Source organism: Homo sapiens, chromosome 6 (genome assembly GCF_000001405.40).
Source record: "Homo sapiens chromosome 6, GRCh38.p14 Primary Assembly".
NCBI classification, from domain to species: Eukaryota; Metazoa; Chordata; class Mammalia; order Primates; family Hominidae; genus Homo; species Homo sapiens.
Window position 1 is genome coordinate 130624713 of NC_000006.12, and position 17019 is coordinate 130641731.

The 17019-nt window shown below is 35.5% G+C and overlaps 2 annotated features.

The window, feature by feature from the left end:
• Nucleotides 1472-1766: a silencer, noted in NCBI's record as "tiled region #149; K562 Repressive non-DNase unmatched - State 24:Quies". NCBI's record gives its function as "represses a minimal TATA promoter and a strong SV40 promoter by Sharpr-MPRA in K562 cells {active_cell/tissue: K562}" and the evidence as "EXISTENCE:reporter gene assay evidence [ECO:0000049][PMID:27701403]".
• Nucleotides 8045-8795: an enhancer, noted in NCBI's record as "OCT4-NANOG hESC enhancer chr6:130953902-130954652 (GRCh37/hg19 assembly coordinates)". NCBI's record gives its function as "activates a minimal SCP1, AML or CMV promoter by ChIP-STARR-seq in naive and primed H9 embryonic stem cells {active_cell/tissue: H9 hESC(naive and primed)}" and the evidence as "EXISTENCE:reporter gene assay evidence [ECO:0000049][PMID:30033119]".

Sequence of the window (17019 nt, forward strand, 5' to 3'; positions counted from 1 at the left end):
TTGTTATTGCTGCCTGTAAGACAACAAATATACCAAAAGCAAGAGAATACTTTCATCTAACCAATTTTTCATGCCCAACAAGTTGCTAAAGCAAGATTGATGAGTGAACGGCTAGAATAATAGGAAGAACAAACTTTTTCCTGCTGGTGGGATAAGCTGGTGCTCAGCTGGAAGCAGTTCTCTAACTGCTGAAAGAATAATGGAAACTTCTCTGGAACATCCTTAGGGAATTTAATACCTGTAAATGAGTGAAAGGAAAAAGGTACAATGTGCACAAACAAGCATATACACATCTTGAAATGAATTCTAGATCCTGAAGCTTAATTCACAGCTGCTAGTATTGAAATCCTTTGTTTAGAATAATTTAGAGCAAATTTAACCAGTAATTAATAAAATAGATTTTACAGTAATTGAAGTTAGATAGCGAAGTTGATAATTATTTTGGAGCTTTAGAATTTTTCTCTCTACAAACTAGATTTCTAAGAATATTCTTTTTTTTTTTTTTTTTTTTTTTTTTTGATATGGGGTCTTGCTCTGTCACTCAGCTTACTGCAACCTCCACCTCCCAGGCTCAAGCAATCCTCCCAAGTCAGCCTGCCAAGTAGCTGGGACTACAGGTGTGCACCACCACACTCTGTTAATTTTTGTATTTTTCACAGAGGTGGGTTTTCACTATGTTGCCCAGGCTTGTCTCAAACTCCTGGGCTCAAGCAATTCACCTGCCTTGGCCTCCCAAAGTGCTGGGATTTCAGGTGTGAGCCACCGTGACCGGCCCCTGAGAATATTCTTAAGATATTTACAGTGGAATAGGTAAAGTGAGTGATAGGGAGTGCTGAAGATAATAAACAGAACTCATTATCTGAAGTTATCAGTAGTTCGGTTTTCTCACAGTTAATCCATATTTATGAAAATAATAAGTTGTCAATCAAGAATAGAATCAATAAAAATATTTATTAATCTGCCATGTTAAGACTACAGGCACATAAAAACAAAGAGATTAATTCAAACATTTCATCTGCATAATACCTCAAACCTGACTATTTAAAAGTGGTTGGGTAATTAAGTAGACATTTCACTTTTTATACAAATATTTGGAATCTTTCCATGCCTAAGGTTTATTTTCTTCATTAAAGTGTTATGATTACTGCCACTTACCTGGGAAATAAAATGTGACAGGAAGTTCATCATGAAATGGAGATGCCATTCCCTGCCTGGGACTATTTCCCACTCTTGTTCCATCTGTACAATAGTCATTCTATAACCTCGGCCCCAGAGGGTCTGAGGTTGGGACTTAGCCTTACCAACCAAAGAAACAACTCCTGGTCTGAGTCATAGAGTCATAAATTTAGTCACATAAAACTGTCATCTTCAGTGACACTCATTGAAAATGTGCCTGGACCTATACAATTTCCTTTAAATTAATTTCAATTTCCAGGGAAAAATGATTCAGAAAGCAAATAACGTTAATGTTCTTCCCACAAATTCAAAATAATTTTGAGAATTTCACCACTATATAGTCAGTTATAAGATGGCAAAATAAAAACATTTTTCAAATTCTTAAAGCAGTGAGATGCTAATTGTTCATTTGTGAAAAGCCAGAAGCCCTGTTTTTAAATAACAGTGCATCAATTTCCAACTTGAAACAGATGTTGGCACTTGGGATGACTCATTATTCTTAACTCCTGTCGGAGCACTTGCCCACTGGGCCTCAGATTAAATTTCAGAACACAGGCAGCAGCACTAACTTCTGAGAAGAAAATGTCACTAGAATGCCATTTCACATCAGTGACAGTGGCTTCTTCAGAAAATTAAGCTTCATTTCATGTCTGCAAGAACAGTGACCATTGACTCACCACTGCGTTAGTTCAGCTTGCCCAATAATAACTACAGAGCTTCACTCTAAAATCAAGTGCAATAGCTGCAAACAAGCTTAGAAACGGGACTCAGACAGAGCACCTAATAACTGCCCTCGCAGTTACTTTTCTTCAAAACTCATTCTACTTCTAAAGATCTATAGAATATGGACATAATTTGGTCCTTAAAGTCTAAAATAGACAATGCAAATTTGGCTAGATGAATTTGATCATTTGATCAGAATCATCAAGCGCTATCAGAAATTTATCATTACATATTATTTTTTACTTAAGCTCAAAGACTTTATTTAAGTTTCCAAATCTTATTTAAAAACACATTCCAAATTAAGTTATGGGAGAGTGAACAGTTCTGTGTAAATTCTAATTTAACTTAATTTTTTAAAAGACGAAGATCTGATCTCTCGATCAGGAGGACTCTCTAAACTTGAAAGCATTGGAAGGTATCAGAAAGGAAAATAATCACTGTATTTGCTTTCCTAAAAATGTAAAATATATGTATCTAAAAAGTGTCATTCAAAAATTAAGAAACATATAAAACTGAGTAAATATTTATGATGAATATTGCAAAGGGTTGCATTCTTAATTTAAATTGATAAATGACCACCAAAATATCATTATACAAAAGACATGAGCAAGAAATTCACAGGTAAGGAAATATAAGTAGCAAGTACATTTAAGAAAAAAGTGTTCAACCTATCAATTAAACTGACAAGGTGTTATCTTTCTTTTAATAAATTGACACTATTTTATAAATATATTATTTTTAATATAAATATCATTTATTCTTGGCATTAGTATTAGTAGTATTATGTTAGTACTCTCAGTATTAGAATTAGTAGAATTATAAATTAGTCCCATCTTGCTAAAAAAAAAATGCATTGGCATTTTTTACTTGGAGCCTTAAAAATATGTACATGCTTTAGACCAGGAAAGTTTTACATACAAAGATCATTATTGCTATGTTCTTTATAAGAGTAAAATGTCCGAACCAACCTAGATGTTCAAAAATAGAGGAATATTTAAATTGATTATGAAATATACATATCCTATATTGTGTACAACTATGTAAGAATTTAAAAGTATACCTGCAAAGTATTTTAATTATAAGGAAACATATTTATGACATATTATCAAGAAAAAGTGTATACATTTTATAAAAATATAATCCTAAATATGAAAAAATATACCCATAGAAAAATACTGTAACTATACTTACACAAGTGATGATTATTACTTGGTAATTCACTATACAAGACAGTCCCCCTTCTTCGTACATTCTTATATTTTTTAATTTCCTCACAATAGGCATGTGTTACTTTAGTATTCAGGAAAAAATAAGCCTTAGTTTAAATGTGTATCAAAATGCTCACTTTAATTTTAAAAAACACATATTACACCTGTGACATTTGCAAAAGTAGTAGCAGAAAATAAATACATGTCTTGAAGAACTATAATTGGATTTAAGAACAGTTTGAACAATGTGTTTATTATACTTGGAAAAATATTCATTATAGAGGGTGACCACAAAGTCTAGAAATAAATGTGTATTATTTATCACATATCTTAATGTAATATCAATAATTCATCAATTGTGAATTTATCCATGTTTCCAGACTTGGTAGCCATCCTGTAATGAGCGATGGGATGTCAATCATTGAAAGGCATGTGTGGCAAATTTAAAAATTAAAAGAACTGAATCCATGACAACTTGTGATTCAAAGATCCCACTAAAACTTCATGGGATGGGGAAGAGGGTGATAAGAATAACTATAATGTTTTCTTTCTGGTAACCTCCCTTTTTCAGAAGGATCAATTAAAAGCCATATTAACACACTATACAGTTGATCAATAAAGTATACAATTTCTATCTGTGATCTTGCTTTAAACATGACAGATTTAATCTTAGAATAATCTGTCTCAAAACTGCTTAACAAGGCCAAACATGCATGTATTTTAATTAATCTTACTTGGACTAATGACAGAAAATACTACTGAGAAAATATTTTCACAAGAAACTATAAAGTACACTGCTTGAAATTAGCAAGACTTCTGAAAAGGGGCGTAAATGAAAAGCAAATACCTCCGGAAAACCTCTTCTCAAATTTGGGACTCTCTAGGTTTCTTAGTTCAGGGCCCAGAGGGCCGCCTCCAACCTGCAAGTGTGCACCAGAGTGTGCAGGGTCACTGTCCCTCCAGCAACCCTGACCCTTTATGCTTATATTGACGACTTTGCCTCTCATGCTCACTCATATACTGAGGATTCAGAGATGAATAAAATAATTTTTTAACAGAGGGCAAAATGTAACAATGCCTGTAAGAGAAAGCAGCTAGAATTATAAGGGTGGGAGGAATTGATTTTGGTAGATCAGACGCGGCTCTGAGGAGGACATGGAATTTAAATCCAGCTCTGATGGATGATAGCCCATGGTGAATCAGGTTTAACCGTTAATTTTATGGCAAAACCGCAATTACTTTTGCACCAACCTAATATAATGCCTTATTTCATCACTGTTTCCAGTGAGGTGGTATTCCTAATTTTGCCCTAGCTGTTACACTCTACTGTCTTCTAGGTGGGAGTTCTTAGTCAATCTGAATGAAAGGTGTCTTAATTAGTAGTTTAAAGAACACTCTTCTTTTAAAGATAATTTATGATTTAAAGAACAATTTTCTATTATATTTTGAAGATACCTAAATCAAAGAAAAACCTCCTCTCATGTGGAAATTTCCCTAGTCACACACTGAGGTGAACGTGGACTTCACATATATATTTAGATCCAAGGCAAGGAGAATTGCTAGACATCTTAAACAAGGTTGGTATACCACAGATTTTTGTACTATTTGTGTTTTACAAAAAGCTGTAGTAGCCAAGAACTCCTCAGCTGATGTATTGCAATTTGGGACTTGGTAGGCTTGGTTTTGAAACTTCTTTTACTCATGTAAAGTTGTAAATGGAATAGATTCTTGTTCTTATAGACTTTTATTTCTTCACAAACATAGAACCATACACTCTGATCTGTGAGACTGAAATACTGAGAAACAGATGCATGAATCATTTTTCCCTGGAACCACAAGATGCTGAAAATATTGAACAGATAAAAAATTGTCAAGAAAGAAAGAAAGTGGGGATATGGGGGAGAGAGAGGGGGAGGGAGGGAAAAAGGAAGGGAAAAGGAAGACAGAAAGAAGAGCAAAGAACAAAACTGATAGGAAACCACAATCAACTTTAACAATGAAGCTTGAATGAAGCCAAGTGTCAAGCTAAACTGGATGTTCTTAAGTCTGACATTTTTAAGGCATTTGTTTTCCTTAACATCTCTATGGATTATACAGATTTATAAATATTTGAATTCACTTCAATAAACCAAAGAAGTACTTAGTATATTGTACTTGATTTATAAATATGCAATGTATATTTATTAATGTTGTAATCTTAAATTTATTCCTTTGACCCCAATAAACTCATTCTAAAAATCCTTGTTATTCAAGAGTGTACTTTTTACCCAAATGTCTTAAAATATATTGTTGTTTTAACTAACAGTACAGATTAGAATTCTAAAGAACATTGGGTACTAGATTCCTTAGTACTGTAATTATTGCTTTAACATATAATTTCATCAGGACTTCTTAGTATAGATAATTAAGGTTTCTACTCTAACGTATAGTAAAATTCCTTATCTCTAAAGTGTAATTATGTTCTAAATGATAGTAATAAATTCTTAATGTAACCAAACACTAATAACAAAATAAAAGCTTGTTTTGAGTAGTTTAATATGTGGAATAGCATCTTTTAACTAAATACTGCTTTGGTTAAATCATAAATGTACTTCTTGCTTTGTATGAGTAACAGAATTAAGAAAACAATGACCACATTTTCCTTCATACATTAAGTGTTTGCCTGATTCAAATATTCTCTCTGATGCAGAGCTTTGATTCGCTCTATCAGCATAGCTCTTATATTGATGTCTTTGTCTACTGTACTAAAGAACACATTGTTCTACAGAGACTAAATAAATAAATAGATTTAATCTAATAAAGCTGGCATTAAACTTTATTATGTAAACAATCCATATGTACAAACAAGAAGAGACTATTTTCATACTAGGTGCAGGGGTAATTTTACGTATCCACATTTTACTTCCATATTCTTTACTGTAGGTATCTGATGGGTAGGCCTACCTGGCTCAAATATCACTTCCAAGCAATGCTGGTATGATGGTTAATACTGAGTGTCAACTTGATTGGACTGAAGGATACAAAGTATTGATCCTGGGTGTGTCTGTGAGGGTATTGCCAAAGGAAATTAACATTTGAGTCAGTGGGCTGGGAAAGGCAGACCCACCCTTAATCTGGGGGAGCACAATCTAATCAGCTGCCAGCACGGCTAGAATATAAGCAGGCAGAAAAATGTGAAAAGAGAGACTGGCCTAGCCTCCCAGCCTACATCTTTGTCCCATGCTGGAAGCTCCCTGCCCTCGAACATCGGACTCCAGGTTCTTCAGTTTTGGAACTCGGACTAGCTCTCCTTACTCCTCAGCCTGCAGACAGCCAGCCTATTGTGGGACCTTGTGATCCTGTGAGTCAATACTGAAAAAACTCCCCTTTATATATATATACTTCTATTCCATTAGTTCTGTCCCTCTGGAGAACCCTAATACAGCTAGAAACCATTTTTCATAGAGGACTTTAAAAAGCAGCACAAAAGCTGCTTTTTGAAAACTTAAAAACATTTTGAACGTTTGAAAGAAAAGACTATTAAAAAAAGAACTTATATTACAAAATGACTAGTTCCTGTAAATACATGAAGCAAAAATATATACACAAAATACAGTAATAGGATGACAGTGTGATTTTTGGTCTTTGTGTGTGTGTGTGTGTATTTAATGGACCAACAATTTCTCCTTTTTAGGGCCCTGGAATACTCTTCTGGAAAGGGTCTCCTCTGTTTCCTTTCTTGCTGTTCTCATCCTGCTCTGCTGATCTGCTTCTACCTGCCAGACACATGGGCCAGTACTCACATTGGACCAGTCATTTCTTGAGTTGTCCTCTATTGTGATATTAATTGTGCAGCATTCTCAATCTGCTTCAAGATGCTCTAATTGTGGTTTTTGGGAGACAGGTTCATCAGTTGTCGGTGTTTCTTGAGCAGAGTACACGCAAGCGCTCAAAATGAGGTGCTCCAGTTCTGCAATTGTGTCCCCCAGGAATGGCCGGAAACACTTTCACCCTCTCTGTGTTCTTTTGTGAATATTGTGAGCATTTCTGTCTTTTAAGGAGAAGAGATGGAAAGACTCTTTTCTGGGCTGGGAGTCCTTAACTTCTTTTATTCTGTGCTCCCTTTGCCTCGCCATGAAATATCCCCACCCCCAAGCCTGCGGTGTGGTTGGAACTGTTCCCATGAGGGTCACATTTTGTTTCTTGAACTGAGTGCCAGTTATAAAGGTGTATTCAGTTTGTGAAATTCATTAAGCTGTATACTTGTGACTGCTGGATTTTTTTAAAAGCTTATTTTCAATGAAAATTTTTTTAAAAAATACTGCCTTCTGCCCTGCCAGGATTTTTCTGATTACTAGATTCATACATATTATAATGTAGCAGAAAAAAATATGGTTTCTAAGACATTCACATGTTACTTTCCCCAGACATTTGCAGACGTAGGTAAGACACATATTCAGCTTTAAAAACTTATAGGTTATTTCCCTTTAATCTGCCATAACTCATCTTAATCAGAGTAAATGAGTAACGTTACTAATATATTTGTGGAAGGCTCTGGAGAATGCAAAGTACCCTCAGCTGAAGGCTCTGCATCCACACTTCCCTGCATGACCGTTCATCTCAGTCGGTCTCAGTGATGGACGGCAGGTCTTGGCATGTTATATAACAACTTAACTAACGGCCGCCATGCACGAAAGAGCAAACCGTCCTGTTGCCTAGTGACTATTATCCAAGGCAATCAAAGTAAACAGCAAATGCCACAGATATTTTTGAACAGCTGTTTGTTGACCCAGATACAATATTTATATGGCTCGCTAGTTTCTCAGACAGAATTGGACCCTATCATACCCTGCAGAACAGAAATTTGTTTTTCTTAATTATCCATCATTATTCCTGGAAATATTTTTTTTAACTAGGAACCTTTGAAAAGGAGTGATAATACGTTCCAATAGGAAATTCGAAAGCCCCTCAAGTTTTATTTTTAGTTCATGTTTAATAGAAATCTTTCCTGCAGATAAGCTTGTGAACTCCCGATAACCACTAGATTTTGTAACATTCCTTCCTGTGTCCAGCAGTATTTACATGTGACATTTACTTCGTGGCTAGAATAATCATAAGTTGGGGCAAAAGCATATTCACTTAAGTCTTCTCCAGTCATTATGCTGGGCATGTTGTACCCTGAAAAGATCATCCTAGACATTCCTCAAGGCTCAGAAGAGAAACGACTCCAGGAGGGCCCTTCCTAATACCATAGGACGAAGTTCCAAGTGCCCCTCTCCACAGGCACCTTGTCAAGTTGATTGCTGAATGAATGCATGGCTTTGTTCTACTTGTTAACACACTGTGTTGCAATTGTTGGTAGATTTTGTGTTGCCACAAAGACCAGGAGTTACTTGTCAAAGGGAAGTGGCAGATTAATTTTTGGAGCATCTTGACTGGGATACAATATGTGACCAATAGATTTTGAAGGGATGAAATAAGGCCTTTTTTCTGCTTGAACATATCTGATAACTTTGATTTAATACCTCTTAGAAATGAATACAGACTGAATGTTGGTGTTTCCCGAAAAATCTTATGTTGAAGCCCTAATTTCCAATAGGATAGGGCCTTTGGGAGATAATTAGGTTTAGATGAGGTCATAGGGTAAGGCCCGCATAATGGAATTACTGTCCTTATAAAAAAGGAAGAGACCATAACACAGCAAAAAAGTGGTTGTCTGCAAGCCAAGAAGAGAGCCTTCACCAGAACCCAACCAGGCTGCCACACTTAGCTCAGACTTCTAGCCTCCACAACTGTAAGAAATAAATTCCTGTTGTTTAAGCCACCAAGTCTATGATATTTTGTTATTGCATCCCAAGATGACTAAGACAAAAATCCATTTTTAAAAGTACAGGCCAAATAATTTATCTTTAAAAATTGATATTGTGTCATTTTAATGGAATGAATCCCTGTCTTACTTCTTATGTCAAAATATATTCCAAGTGAGATAAATATTTAAATATTAGAAGGAAATGAAGGAAGGAGAAAGGAAGGAAAGGAGAAAAGGGAAGCAAGCCATTAGAGACCCAGAGACCAATAATGGGAAATGTATTCATATTTTTTGAATGGGGGAAGTTTTCTAGGTACAATATAAAACTCAGAAACTCTAAAGGAAGATTTGTCATGTCAAAATTTAAAAAAAAAATGATCTGAGAATAACACCATACACAAAGTTTTTATTTAAGCATTACAATTTAACAAAAAACGGCAACCATTATGACAAAGGCCTAATTTCTGTAGTATAAAAGAAGGTCTCACAAATCAATTCAAAAATGATCAAAAAGAGAATAGTGAACAAAGGATACAAAAATCTATTTTATAGGGAAATAAACACATACGGTCAATAAGTATATAGAAAGATTTTTAATGTCACTAAAAATTAAGCAAAGGCAAATTAAAACTGCAAAATGCCGTTTTCATTCACTACAGTTACAAAGATTACCAGTACACATTTGTTTGTTAGGAAGTGGAAAAAACAACCCTGTCATAAACTTTTGATAGAGCATAGATTAGTGTTAGGAAGCTATCTGTCAGGATCTTCCAAACTTTTAAATGCAGATATACCTGACACTGCAATTACACTTCTAGGAATTGATAGTTCATTTATTTACTGACATAAATATATGTCCACTAATAGAAGGTTATTAGGTTACCAAACAGAAAAGAATAATGAGCATGTTTATTCTTATAATTAAAAAGTGTATGTGTGTGTGTGTATATATATATATATATATAAAATATATATAAGTGTAATTTGCTACAGTTGCCTCTGATTAAAGGAATACGGGGTAGAGATGTGAACTTTTACATTTTATTTTATAATCTTTGCTACCCTTTTTTAAGAAAGCCATACATTTTTATTATTTTATAATAAAAAATGTCGTTAAAAGTATAGGAGTATATTGCCACCCTACAACTCAGTAGAAATTAACAAAAGTGTGCCATCACTAAGTTATACAAAAAAACAAAATATTTAAAGAGGACAAGAGAACGATCCAAAATAAAATAATTTCAGCAAAAATAAAAAGCTGGAAATTAAGGTGCTCGGGAAACAAATTGCACGTGTCAGGCAGTTGACAAGCCCCATCTATAAAGCAGGAACAGAAGGCCTGAAGCCCAGGTCATAGCTGTCACTCAAGCCCCCTTTCAATCACGAAAAGGCTTGTGTGGGGGGATGTGGAGCAAATGAATGAGTGTGCACATCAATCAAAGAGAAAGAGAAGCATTTTCTAAAGGCAAGGGTTGGGAGTAGAATGGTTTCAGAGGGAAAAAAATTATTTCCTACCAGTTTAAATGAGATCAAGAACAGGGTATGACCTCCAGTAAAGATTTTAAAAATAGATTCTTCATTTCAGAAAATTATCAGACCAAACCTTCTGTGTTTTCTTATTTTAAATTTAGGCTTCATAAATAAGCAACAGATATATTTACACTTGTAGTGTCCACAAGTAGATGATGTTGGAATTGTGATGCCGAATTGGACCAAATATCCCAAATGGAATTTTCTGCACCAGCTGTAGAGCTGTAGCATTTCCTAAGGCCACACATTTTCTGTCTTCATCTTGGACAGTTTTCTCATGAGCAAAGTTTGTTCATTCCAAGGGAAAAATGTATTTCAGTTGAAACAATAAGGTATCCCATGAGAAAAAGTTATATCTCAGACATACTTGGCTTAGGTTGATCTCAACCTCTCTAAAAAGAAAGTGCCCTCTAAATATCGATCCTTTTATATAAGAAGCTCCCTCTATGTGGCACCCTTCATGAAGGAGGAGAAATATGAAAAATTACAGCTTTCTTGTCTCTGTGGGCCAGATACCAGTAGAAATTGCTGCTACTGATTGAGGTGAACCAAACTCAGGATCAGAATGAAGCCCTTCTTTATTAGAGATGAACACAATGAAATACCTTGTAATTCATAAAGTTACATGTTTTGATTCTTTCTGGTTTTCCCCTTTCTTCCTCTCAGGCCTCTTAATGGTCACATGCCTACCTTTTTTTTGTATATTACATCATGCACAAATATACACACATGCACACATACAGTATTTAGTAAAAACATCCATCAAGACTTTGTTATAGTGTCTCACAATCTGTGATAACCTATCTAGTAAATAATGAGTTTCTAATAATAGAGTAGAAAAATTTCTGGGTGAATTTGCCATATAAATCACGTAGTGGTTTTTACCATCTGTATAGGGACCCATATGCCTATAACAGCAATAATTTCCCTGTTCATTAAATTCAGTTATGCCAACTCCTAGCCACCACTCACTGAGTAACAAGCACCAAAACTTTCATCACATAAAAAAAGGGCCTGCCAAGTTGGATAAGGAGTCAAGACCCATTGGTGTGCTGTATTCAGGTGACCCATCTCATGTGCTCAAACACACATAGGCTCAAAATAAAGGGATGGAGGATTATTTACCAAGCAAATGGAAAGCAAAAAAAGCAGAGGTTGCAATCCTAGTCTCTGATGAAACACACTTTAAACCAACAAAGATCAAAAAAGACACAGAAGGACATTACATATGATTAAGGGATCAATGCAACAAGAAGAACTAACTATCCTAAATATATATGCACCCAATACAGGAGCACCCAGATACATAAAACAAGTTCTTAGAGACCTACAAAGAGACTTAGACTCCCACACAATAATAGTGGGAGACTTTAATGCCCCACTGTCAATATTAGACAGACAAATGAGACAGAAAATTAATGAGGATATTCAGGACTTGAACTCAGCTCTGAACCAAGTGGACTTAATAGACATCTACAGATCTCTCCACCCCAGATCAACAGAACATACATTCTTCTTGGCACCACATAACACATATTCTAAAATTGACCACATAATTGGAAGTAAAACAGTCCTCAACAAATGCAAAAGAATAGAACTCATAACAAACAGTCTCTCAGACCACAGTGCAATCAAATTAGAACCTAGGATTAAGAAACTCACTCAAAACCACACAACTACATGGAAACTGAAGAGTCTGCTCCTGAATGACTGCTGGGTAAATAATGAAATTAAGACAGAAATAAAGAAGTTCTTTGAAACCAATGAGAACAAAGAGACCACACCAGAATCTCTGGGACACAGCTAAAGCAGTGTTAAGAGGGAAATTTATAGCATTAAGTTCCCACATTGGAAAGTGGGAAAGATCTGAAATAGACACCCTAACATCACAATTAAAAGAACTAGAGAAACAATTAAAAGAACTAGAGAAGCAAGAGGAAAAAATTCAAAAGCTTGCAGAAGACAACAAATAACTAAGATCAGAGCAGAACTGAAGGAGATAGAAACACAAAAAAACCCTTCAAAAGAATCAATGAATACAGGAGCTGGTTTTTTGAAAAGATTAATAAAGTAGATAGACCACTAGCCAGACTAATAAAGAAGAAAAAAGAGAAGAATCAAATGACACAATAAAAAATGATAAAGGGGAGATCACCACTGATCCCACAGAAATACAAACAACCATCAGAGAATACTATAAACACCTCTATGCAAATAAACTACAAAATCTAGAAGAAATGGATACAAAATCTAGAAGAAATGGACACATACACCCTCCTAAGACTAAACCAGAAAGAAGTCAAATCCCTGAATTTACCAATAACAAGTTCTGAAATTGAGGCAGTAATTAATAGCCTACCAACCAAAAAAAAAAAAAGCCCAGGACCAGATGGATTCACAGCCAAATTCTACCAGAGGTACAATGAGGAGCTGGTACCATTCCTTCTGAAACTATTCCTAACAATAGAAAATGAGGGACTCCTCCCTAACTCATTTTATGGTGCAGCATCATCCTGATACCAAAACCTGGCAGAGACACAGCGAAAAAAGAAAATTTTAGGACAACATCCCTGATGAAGATTGATGTGAAAATCCTCAATATAATACTGGCAAACCGAATCCAGCAGCACATCAAAAAGCTTATCCACCACAATCAAGTTGGCTTCAGACTTAGGATACTAGGCTAGTTCAACATATGCAAATCAATAAACATAATCCACCACATAAACAGAACAAATGACAAAATCACGTGATTATCTCAATAGATGCAGAAAAGGCCTTCAATAAAATTCAACACCCCTTCATGCTAAAAACTCTCAATAAACTAGGTATTTGTGGAACATATCTCAAAATAATAAGAGCTGTTTATGACAAACTCATAGCTAATATCATATGAAATGGGCAAATGCTGGAAGCATCCCCTTTGAAAACTGACACAAGACAAGGATGCCCTCTCTCACCACTCCGATTCAACATAGTATTGGAAGTTCTGGCCAGGGCAATTAGGCAAGAGAAAGAAATAAAGTGTATTCAAATATCAAGAGAGGAAGTCAAATTGTCCCTCTGTTTGCAGATGACGTGATTATATATTTAGAAAACCCCATAGTCTCAGCCCCAAAACTTCTTTTTTTTTTTTTTTTTTTTTTTTTTTTGAGACGGAGTCTCGCTCTGTCGCCCAGGCTGGAGTGCAGTGGTGCGATCTCGGCTCACTGCAAGCTCCGCCTCCCAGGTTCACGTCATTCTCCTGCCTCAGCCTCCCGAGTAGCTGGGACTACAGGCGCCCACCACCACGCCCGGCTAATTTTTTGTATTTTTAGTAGAGACGGGGTTTCACCGTGTTAGCCAGGATGGTCTCGATCTCCTGACCTCGTGATCCGCCCGCCTCGGCCTCCCAAAGTGCTGGGATTACAGGCGTGAGCCACCGCGCCCGGCCCCCAAAACTTCTTAAGCTGATAAGCCATTTCAGCTAAGTCTCAGGATACAAAATCAATCTGCAAAATCACAAGCATTTCTATACACCAACAATATACAAGCAGAGAGCCAAATCATGAGTGAACTCCCATGTACAATTGCTACAGAGAATAAAATACCTAGGGATACAACTTACAAGGTACGTGAAGGACCTCTTCAAGGAGAACTACAAATCACTGCTCAGGGAAATAAGGGAGGAGACAAACAAATAGAAAAACATTCCATGCTCATGGATAGGAAGAATCAATATCATGAAAATGGCCATACTGCCCAAAGTAATTTGTAGATTCAATGCTATTCCTATCAAGCTACCAGTGACTTTCTTCACAGAATTAGAAAAAAGCTACTTTAAATTTCATATGGAACTTAAAAAGAGCCCATATAGCCAAGACAATCCTAAGCAAAATGAACAAAGCTGGAGGCATAATACTACCTGACTTCAAACTATACTACAAGGCTACAGTAACCAAAACAGCATGGTACTGGTACCAAAACAGATATATAGACCAATGAAACAGAACAGAGGCCTCAGAAATAAAACCACACATCTACAATAATATGATCTTTGACAAACCTGACAAAAACAAGCAATGGGGAAAGGATTCACTATTTAATAAATGGTGCTGGAAAACAGGCTAGCCATATGCAGCAAACTGAAACTGGACCTCTTCCTTATGCCTTATACAAAAATTAACTCAAGATATATTAAAGACTTAAACATAAAACCTAAAACCATAAAAACCCTAGAAGAAAACCTAGGCAATACAATTCAGGACATAGGCATGGGCAAAGACTTCATGACTAGAACACCAAAGCAATTGCAACAAAAGTCAAAATTGACAAATGGATCTCATTAAACTAAAGAACTTCTGCACAGCAAAAGAAACTATCATCAGAGTGAACAGGCACCCTACAGAGTGGAAGAACGTTTTTGCAATCTATCCATCTGCCAAAGAGCTAATATCCAGAATCTGCAAGGAACTAAAACAAATTCACAAGAAAAAACAACCCCATCAAAAAGTGGGTGAAGGATATGAATAGACACTTTTCAAAAGAGACATTTATGTGGCCAACATCATATGAAAAAAAGCTCATCATCACTGGTCATTAGAGAAATGCAAATCCAAACCACAATGAGATGCCATCTCACACCAGTTAGAATGAGGGTCATTAAAAAGTCAGAAAACAACAGATGCTAGAGAGGATGTGAAGAAATAGGAAAGCTTTTACACTTTTGGTGGGAGTGTAAATTAGTTCAACTATTGTGGAAGACAGTGTGGTGATTCCTCAAGGATCTAGAACCAAAAATACCATTTGACACAGCAGTCCCATTACTGGGTATATACCCTAAGTATTATAAATTCTTCTACTATAAAGACACATGCACACATATGTTTATTGCAGCACTATTTACAATAGCAAAGACTTGGAACCAACTCAAATTCCTATCAATAATAGAATGGGTAAAGAAAATGTGGCACATATACACCATAGGACACTATGCAGCCATAAAAAAGAATGAGTTCATGTTCTTTGCAGGGACGTGGATGAAGCTGGAAACCATCATTCTCAGCAAACTAACACAGAAACAGAAAACCAAACACTGCATGTTCTCACTCACAAGTGGGAGTTAAACAATGAGGACACATGAACACGTGGAGGGGAACATCATACACTGGGACCTGTTGTGGGGTGGGGGACAAGGGGAGGGAGAGCATTAGGACAATTACCTAATGCATGCGGGGCTTAATATCTAAGTGACGGGTTGATAGTTGCAGCAAACCACCATGGCACAAGTATACCTATGTAACAAACCTGAACATTCTGCTCATGTATCCCAGAACTTAAAGTAAAATTAAGAATAAAGATAAAATTAAATTAAAAGATGTATTTAAAAAAATGGCCTGCCATCCCTTGAAAACATGTAAAATGGGAATAATTATTCCTAACTTAAATATCTTCATTGCTACATATGGCACAGAGTTATATAAAGATCACATTTTCAGGATGTTTAGTATCAAACATTTTGCAAATGTGAGGTATAGTAACTGCCATGCCATACCCAGAGATTATATTATTTATTATAATTTTTATATTATATACGTTCTATTATGTTATACAACAGATTTAAAATGACCTTCTCCTGCTTACTTACGAGAGCTATTGATCTGCCTACTTTGCATTTATAATCTCTACAAACTTCCTTCACTCCTTGTCTAAAATCATTTTCTTCTTATTGTTCATTATCAGTAGGGGCTTGAACACTGGCTTTGCTATTGAGCCAAGCACTCTAAAGACACAAAATAAAATAATTTCTTTCAAGAAGGTGGTTCAACTCTGCAGATTTAACTGTAAAACCATGGTAGGTTGCTCACCAATTCAGCCTGTTGTAGGATTGTAGAATTTCAAGGTAATCAGAGAATATGGGCTTTCACTTTCTACCTGCCATTCAATGCTTTGAGGAATGGACCCATGTGGATCATGGATTTATAGGTATTAAACTTGCTTCTCCTGCCACTGCTAGCCATAAAAAACACAGTGTAACTGAAGTTTACCAAAACTAGCTGCTGTGTCTTTCATTTGCCCTCCAGATCCGCTCTTGCCTTGTTTTATGACTGAACACCTGAAATGTTTTTAAAAGCAGTGTTTAAATAATTAATAAATAACAGTAATTTATTATTAAGTAATAAGTTGCTATTACTTTAATGTTGTGAATATATATATCTATATATGCAAGTAGAGGTACATGTATTTGTAGCAAAGAATTTGAAATAATACACACTAAAAAGGTAGTGTCTCTTGGAGATATCTTTATTTGTTTGGTTTTTTTGAGATATCTAGTTTTTCTTCAGACTTGTTTTACTTGTGTTATCATAACAAACAATTTAACTACTGAAGATTTTTTAAAACATCCTTCTGTTGGTTGTAGATGCTAATTTTTATGTTTCATAATTTCAATCATTGAGTGATGACACAATACATTTTACAAAACGTAACACGGAGCCTTATGAAAATAAAATTCTAGCTTCAATAATTTCATAACTTTTCTCTAATTATCTTTTCAAAAAGACTTTGGTAATGTGCTCTAAACATAGGAAATGTGAATTTTGAAAGCTATAGGCT